The following is a 7,921-nucleotide window of genomic DNA, read 5'->3' as shown; positions in this document are numbered from 1 at the left end:
TTTACAGTGGGAAGACATTATTGACTCACACAAATTAAAATGTTCTCAACATATTTATAAATTAAAGTGATGTAGGAGCTTAAAATTAGGCCACCCACAATGATTTATCAATGGCAGGTATCCATCTTTTTTTAATTATACTTTTAGTATCAGGATACATGTACAGAACGTGAAGGTTTGTTACGTAGGTATACATGGGCCATAGTGGTTTGCCACACCCATCAACCCATCATCTACATTAGGTATTTCTCCTAATGCTATCCCTCTTCTTGCCCCCTACCCACTGACAGGCCTCGGTGTGTGATGTTCCCCCTCCCTGTGCCCATATGTTCTCATTGTTCAACTCACACTTATGAATGAGAACATGCGCTGTTTGGTTTTCTGTTCCTGTATTAGTTTGCTGAGAATCATGGCTTCCAGCTTCATCCATGTCCCTGCAAAAGACATGAAATCATTCTTTTTTATGGCTGCACAGTATTCCATGGTGTACATGTGCCATGTTTTCTTTATCCAGTCTAACATTGATGGGCATTTGGGTTGGTTCCAAGTCTTTGCTATTGTGAATAGTGCTGCAATAAACATACATGTGCAAGTGACTTTATAGTAGCATGATTTATAATCCTTTGGGTATATAACCAGTAATGGGATTGCTGGGTCAAATGGTATTTCTAGTTCTGGATCCTTGAGGAATCGCCACACTGTCTTCCACAATGGTTGAACTAATTTACACTCTCACCAACAGTGTAAAAGCATTCCTATTACTCCACATCCTCTCCAGCATCTGTTGTTTCCTGACTTATTAATGATTGCCATTCTAACTGGTGTGAGATGGTATCTCATTGTGGTTTTGATTTGCATTTCTCTGATGACCAGTGATGATGAGCTTTTTTTCATATGTTTGTTGGCTGCATAAATGTCTTCTTTTCAGAAGTGTCTGTTCATATCCTTTGCCCACTTTTTGATGGGTTTTTTTTTTCTTGGAAATTTGTTGTAAGTTCCTTGTAGATTCTGGATATTAGTCCTTTGTCAGATGGATAGACTGCAAAATTTTTCTCCCATTCTGTAGGTTGCCTGTTCACTCTGATGATAGTTTCTTTTGCTCTGCAGAAGCTCTTTAGTTTGATTAGATCCCATTTATCAATGTTGGCTTTTGTTGCCATTGCTTTTGGTGTTTTAGTCATAAAGTCTTTGTCCATGCCTATGTCCTGAATGGTATTGCCTAGGTTTTCTTCTAGGGTTTTTATGGTTTTAGATCTTACTTTAAATCTTTAATCCATCTTGAGTTAATTTTTGTATAAGGTGTAAGGAAGAGGTCCAGTTTTAGTTCTCTATATATGGCTAGCCAGTTTTCTAACACCATTTATTAAATAGGGAATCCTTTCCCCATTGCTTGCTTTTGTTTGATTTGTCAAAGATCAGATGGTTATAGATGTGTGGTGTTAATTCTGAGTTCTCTGTTCTGTTCTATTGGTCTATATACCTGTTTTGGTACCAGTACCATGCTGTTTTGGTTTCTGTAGCCTTGCAGCATGTTCAAAGTCAGGTAGCATGATGCCTCCAGCTTTGTTCTTTTTGCTTAGGATTGTCTTGGCTATACACACTCTTTTTTGGTTCCACATGAAATTTAAAGTAGTTTTTTTCTAATTCTGTAAAGAAAGTCAATGATAGCTTGACGGGAATAGCATTAAATCTATATATTACTTTGGGCAGTATGGCCGTTTTCATGATATTGATTCTTCCTTTCCATGAGCATGGAATGTTTTTCCATTTGTTTGTGTCCTCTCTTATTTCATTGAGCAGTGGTTTGTAGTTCTTGAAGAGGTCTTTCACATCCCCTGTAAGCTGTATTCCTAGGTATTTTATTCTCTTTGTAGCAATTGTGAATGGGAGTTCACTCATGATTTGGGTCTCTGTCTATTATTGTTGTATAGGAATCCTTGTGATTTTTGCACATTGATTTTGTATCCTGAGACTGCTGAAGTTGCTTATCAGCTTAAGGAGTTTTTGGGCTGAGCCGATGTGGTTTTCTAAATATACATTCATGTCACCTGCAAACAGAGACAATCTGACTTCCTGTCTTCCTATTTGAATACCTTTATCTCTTTGTCTTGCCTAATTGCCCTGGTCAGAACTTCCTATACTACGTAGAATAGGAGAGTTGAGAGAGTGCATCCTTGTCTTGTGCCGGTTTTCAAAGGGAATGCTTCCAGCTTTTGTCCATTCAGTATGATATTGGTTGTGGGTTTGTCATAAATAGCTCTTATTATTTTGAGATATGTTCCATCAATACTTAGTTTATTGAGTGTTTTTAGCATGAAGGGTGTTTAATTTTATTGAAGGCCTTTTCTGCATCTATTGAGATAATCATGTGGTTTCTGTCATTGTTTCTGTTTATGTGATGGATTACATTTATTGATTTGTGTATGTTGAAATAGCCTTGTACCCAAGGGACAAAGCTGACTTGATTGCGGTGGATAAGCTTTTTGATATGCTGCTGGATTCGGTTTGGCAGTATTTTGTTGAGGATTTTTGCATCAATGTTCATCAGGGATATTGGCCTGAAATTTTCTTTTTCTTGTTGCGTCTCTGGCATGTTTTGGTATCAGGATGATGCTGGCTTCATAAAATGAGTTAGAGAGGAATCCATCTTTTTCTATTATTTGGAATAGTTTCAGAAGGAATCATACCAGCTACTCTTTGTACCTCTGGTAAAATTCGGCTGTGAATCCATCTGGTCCTGGGCTTTTTGTTTGTTTGTTTGTTTTGGTTGGTAGGCTATTAATTACTCCCTCAGTTTCAGAACTTGTTATTGGTCTATTCAGGGATTCAACTTCTTCCCGGTTTACTCTTGGGAGAGTGTATATGTCCAGGAATTTATCCATTTCTTCTAGATTTTCTAGATTTGTGTGTGTGTGTGTGTGTGTGTGTGTGTGTGTGTGTAGGGTTGTTTATAGTATTCTCTGATGGTAGCTTGTATTTCTGTGGGATCAGTGGTGATATCCCCCTTATCATTTTTTATTGTGTCTATTTGATTATTATCTCTTTTCTTCTTTATTAGTCTGGCTAGCGGTCTATTTTGTTAATCTTTTCAAAAAACCAACTCCTGGGTGCATTGATTTTTTGAAGGATTTTTGTCTCTATCTCCTTCACTTCTGTTCTAATCTTAGTTATTTCTCCTCTTCTGCTAGCTTTTGAATTTGTTTACTCTTGCTTCTCTAGTTCTTTTAATTGTGATGTTAGGGTGTCGATTTTAGATCTTTCTTGCTTTCTCTTGTGGGCATTTAGTGCTTTAAATTTCCCTCTAAACACTGCTTTAGTTGTGTCCCAGAGATTCTAGTACGTTGTGTCTTTGTTCTCATTGGTTTCAAATAACTTATTTATTTCTGCCTTAATTTTGTTATTTACCCAGTAGTCTTTCAAGGAGAAGGTTGTTCAGTTTCCATATAGTTGTGTGGTTTTGAGTGAGTTTCTTAATCCTGAGTTCTAATTTCATTGCACTGTGGTCTGAGAGACTGTTTGTTTTGATTTCCGTTCCTTTGCATTTGCTGAGGAGTGTTTTACTTCAAATTATGTGGTTGATTTTAGAATAAGTGCTATGTGGTGCTGAGAAGAATGTATATTCTGTTGATTTGGGGTGGAGAGTTCTGTAGATGTCTATTAGGTCTGCTTGGTCCAGAGCTGAGTTCAAGTCCTGAATATCCTTGGTAATTTTCTGTCTTGTTGATGTGTGTCTAATATTGACAGTGGGGTGTTAGAGTCTCCCACTATTATTGTGTGGGAGTCTAAGTTTCTTTGTAGGTCTCTAAGAACTTGCTTTTTGAATCTGGATGCTCCTGTATTGGGTGCACATATATTTAGGATAGGTAGCTCTTCTTGTTGTATTGACTCCTTTACCATAAGGTAATGCCCTTCTTTGTCTCTTTTGATCTTTGTTCATTTAAAGTCTGTTTCATCAGAGACTAGAATTGCAATTCCTACCTTTTTTTGCTTTTCATTTGCTTGGTAAGTCTTCTTCAATGACTTTATTTTGAGCCTATGTGTGTCTTTGCATGTGAGATGGGTCTCCTGAATACAGCATACCGATGGGTCTTGACTCTTTATCCAGTTAGCCACTCTGTGCCTTTTAATTGGGGCATTTAGCCCATTTACATTTAAGGTTAATATTGTTATGTTTGAATTTCATCCTGTCATTATGATGCTAGCTGGTTATTTTGCACATTAGTTGATGGAGTTTCCTCATAATGTCAATGGTCTTTACATTTTGGTTTGTTTTTGCAGTGGCTGGTACCCATTTTTCCTTTCCATATTTAGTTCTTCCTTCAGGAGCTCTTGTAAGGAAGGCCTGATGGGACAAAATCCCTCAGCATTTGCTTGTCTGTAAAGGATTTTATTTCTCCTTCACTTATGAAGCTTACTTTGGCTGGATATGAAATTCTGGGTTGAAAATTCTTTTCTTTAAGAATGTTGAATATTGACCCCACTCTCTTCTGGCTTGTAGGTTTTCTCAGAGAGATCCACTGTTAGTCTGACAGGCTTCCTTTTGGGGGTAACCCAAGCTTTCTCTCTGCCTGCCCTTAACATTTTTTCCTTCATTTCAATCTTGGTGAATCTGATGAGTATGTGACTTGGGGTTGCTCTTCTCGAGGAGAACCTTTGTGGTGTTCTCTGTATTTCCTGAATTTGAATGTTGGCCTGTCTTGCTAGGTTGGGGAAGTTCTCCTGCATAATATCCTGAAGTGTGTTTTCCAACTTGGTTCCATTCTCCCTGTCACTTTCAGGTACACCAATCAAATGTAGGTTTGGTCTTTTCACATAGTCCCATATTTCTTGGGAGCTTTATTCATTCCTTTTCATTCTTTTTCTCTAATCTTGTTTTTACACTTTATATCATTAAGTTGATCTTCAATCTCTGATATCCTTTCTTCTGCTTGATCGATTCGGCTATTGATACTTGTGTATGCTTCACGAAGTTCTCATGCTGTGCTTTTCAGCTCCATCAGGTTATTTATGTTCTTCTCTAAATTGGTTATTCTAGTTAGCAATTCCTCTAACCTTTTATCAAGGCTCTTAGCTTCCTTGCATTGGGTTAAAACATGCTCCTTTAGCTCAGAGGAGTTTGTTATTACCCACCTTCTGAAGCCTACTTCTGTCAGTTCGTCAAACTCATTCTTTGTCCAGTTATGTTCCCTTGCTGGTAAGGAGTTGTGATCCTTCGGAAGAGAAGAGCATTCTGGTTTTTGAAATGTTCAGCCTTTTTGCACCGGCTTTTCCTCATCTTCATGGATTTATTTACCTTTGGTCTTTGCTGTTGGTGACCTTTGGATGGAGTTTTTGCATGGTCATCCTTTTTGTTGATGTTGATGCTATTGCTTTCTGTTTTTCATTCTAAGAGTCAGGCACCTCTACTGCTGATCTGCTGGAGTTTGCTGGGGGTCCACTCCAGACCCTGTTTGCCTGGGTATCACCAGCCAAGGCTGCAGAACAGCAAAAATTGCTGCCTGCTCCTTCCTCTGGAAGGTTTGTCTCACAGGGGCACTTGCCAGATGTCAGCTGGAGCTCTCCTGTATGACGTGTCTCTCAACTCCTTCTGGGAGGAGTCTCCCAGACAGGAGGCATGGGGGTCAGGGACCCACTTGAGGAGGCCGTCTGTCCCTTAGCAGAGCTTGAGCACTGTGCTTGGAGATAAGCTGCTCTCTTCAGAGCTGGCAGGCAGGAACATTTAAGTCTGCTGAAGCTGCTCCCACAGCTGCCCCTTCCCCCAGGTGCTCTGTCCCAGGGAGATGGGAGTTTTATCTATAAGGCCCTGACTGAGGCTGCTGCCTTTCTTTCAGAGATGTCCTGCCCATAGAGGAGGAATCTAGAGAGGCAGTCTGGCTACAGCTACTTTTCTGTGCTGCAGTGGGCTGTGCTCAGTCCAAACTTCCAGGAGGCATTGTTTACACTGTGAGGGGAAAACAGCCTACTCAAGCCTCAGTAACGGTGGACGCCCCTCCCAACACCAAGCTCGAGTGTCCCAGGTTGACTGCAGACTGCTGTGCTGCCAGTGAGAATTTCAAGCCAGTGGATCTTAGCTTGCTGGGCTCCATGGGAGAGGGACCCTCTGAGCAAGACCACTTGACTCCCTGGCTTTATCCCCTTTTCCATGGGAGTGAATGGTTCTGTCTTGCTGGCATTCCAGGTGCCACTGGGATATGAAAAAAACTTCTGCAGCTAGCTCGGTGTCTGCCCAAATGGCCACCCAGTTTTGTGCTTGAAACCCTGGGACCTTGTGGTGTAGGTACCCAAGGGAATCTCCTGGTCTGTGGGTTGTGAAGACTGTGAAAAAAGTGTCGTATCTGAGCTGGATAGCTCTGTCCCTCATGGCACATTCCCTCAAGACTTTCCTTGGCTAGGGGAGGGAGTTCCCTAACCCCTTGCACTTCCCGGGTGAGGCAATGCCCCCACACTGCTTCTGCTCACCCCGTGGGCTGCACCCACTCTCTAACCATTCCCAGTGAGATGAACCAGTTACCTCAGTTAGAAATGCAGAAATCATCAGCCTTCTGCATTGGTCTCACTGGGAGCTTCAGACTGGAGCTGTTCCTATTTGGCCATCTTGTCCAGGAATCCCTCGGTATCCCTCTTAATAAATGTACAAGTCAGATAAGAAATCACAGAGATGCCAAACTCTAAAATTTGTTTTTTGATCAATGTTTTAACAATGTGATGTGGTAAAGTAGTATTTTTCAAGCCAGGCTGCTCCTAGGGAGATTTTAATTAATGAAAATATTCAAGCCCTCATTATCGAAGATGATCTGTGGTGAGAAGGGCAGGCTTGGGAGCTAGACGCCATGGGTCTGCATTTCTGACTCCAATATTTATCAGCTATTATTTGGACAAAGTTATTTAAAAATGCAAAACCTTCATTTACTCAGCTATAAAGTGAGGGCAATGATCTCACCTCCTTCAGTAGATTGTTGATTACTAGATGAGAAGTTATCGCCTAGCATGGATCTTAACATGTAAAATCCCTTGGTGAACATATATTATTAGTGGTATTCTCTGTCATTTTATTGGTGTATGCTATAGTGGTGTTTACTCAGCATATGCTATGGTACTGCACACAGAGATGTTAACATACACAGACATTACATGTCAGTTCTTTAAAAAACAAAAACTAGTGTGGAATCCCAGTATCCTCCTTCCTAACAAATTTTACAATTATAATTATGCAAAAAAGGATAGCAGAAGAAGATCTATTTCAAGCTTTATGCAAAAGGAAGTAACCTGGTGGCACATTTGTGCATAATCTGTGATATGTCAGTTATTTGAGAAACTGGGGGGATTTTATTTTGAAAAAATTTTATATAGCATGTATATATACACATAAGATAATTTATATAAGAAATTATTGGTATATGTATATATAATTATATAGCACATAATCTATAAATACATAAATTGTAAAGCTATAAAAGTAATTTATATTTTGATATCAATCTGCAAAACACCTATTATCCACCAATGTAATTAAGCTTCATGAGAACTCTGTGTAATCTCTGAAGCACACTAGTGTAGAGCACTCTGAATCACCCTGGCATATGGAGACAAGCTCAGGCTTTGGAACCACGTCAGCCGGGGTTAAAATCCCGGTTCTCTTTGTTGCTCCCATGCTTTCTGTCCTTTCTGTTTTTGCTCCTGCAGCCCTATATGCCTGAAATGCCTCCCCCAGGTCCCTCGCTGTAACTGGCTGACATCTACTCAACTGAAAAGGCTCATCTTGAGGATTACTCTCCAGGAAGCATTCTGTTATCCCCTCAGGCCAGGTAAGTGTCTCTCTGAACTCTCAAAATATCCCACGCCCATCCCTGTCAGTGCATGTATTGATTGTGGTGCCCTCTGCCCTCACTGGACAGTGAATTGCAGAAGCTAGGGACAGTGA

Source organism: Homo sapiens, chromosome 6 (assembly GCF_000001405.40).
Source record: "Homo sapiens chromosome 6, GRCh38.p14 Primary Assembly".
Classification (NCBI taxonomy): Eukaryota; Metazoa; Chordata; class Mammalia; order Primates; family Hominidae; genus Homo; species Homo sapiens.
Note: the sequence above shows the minus strand (reverse complement) of the source record.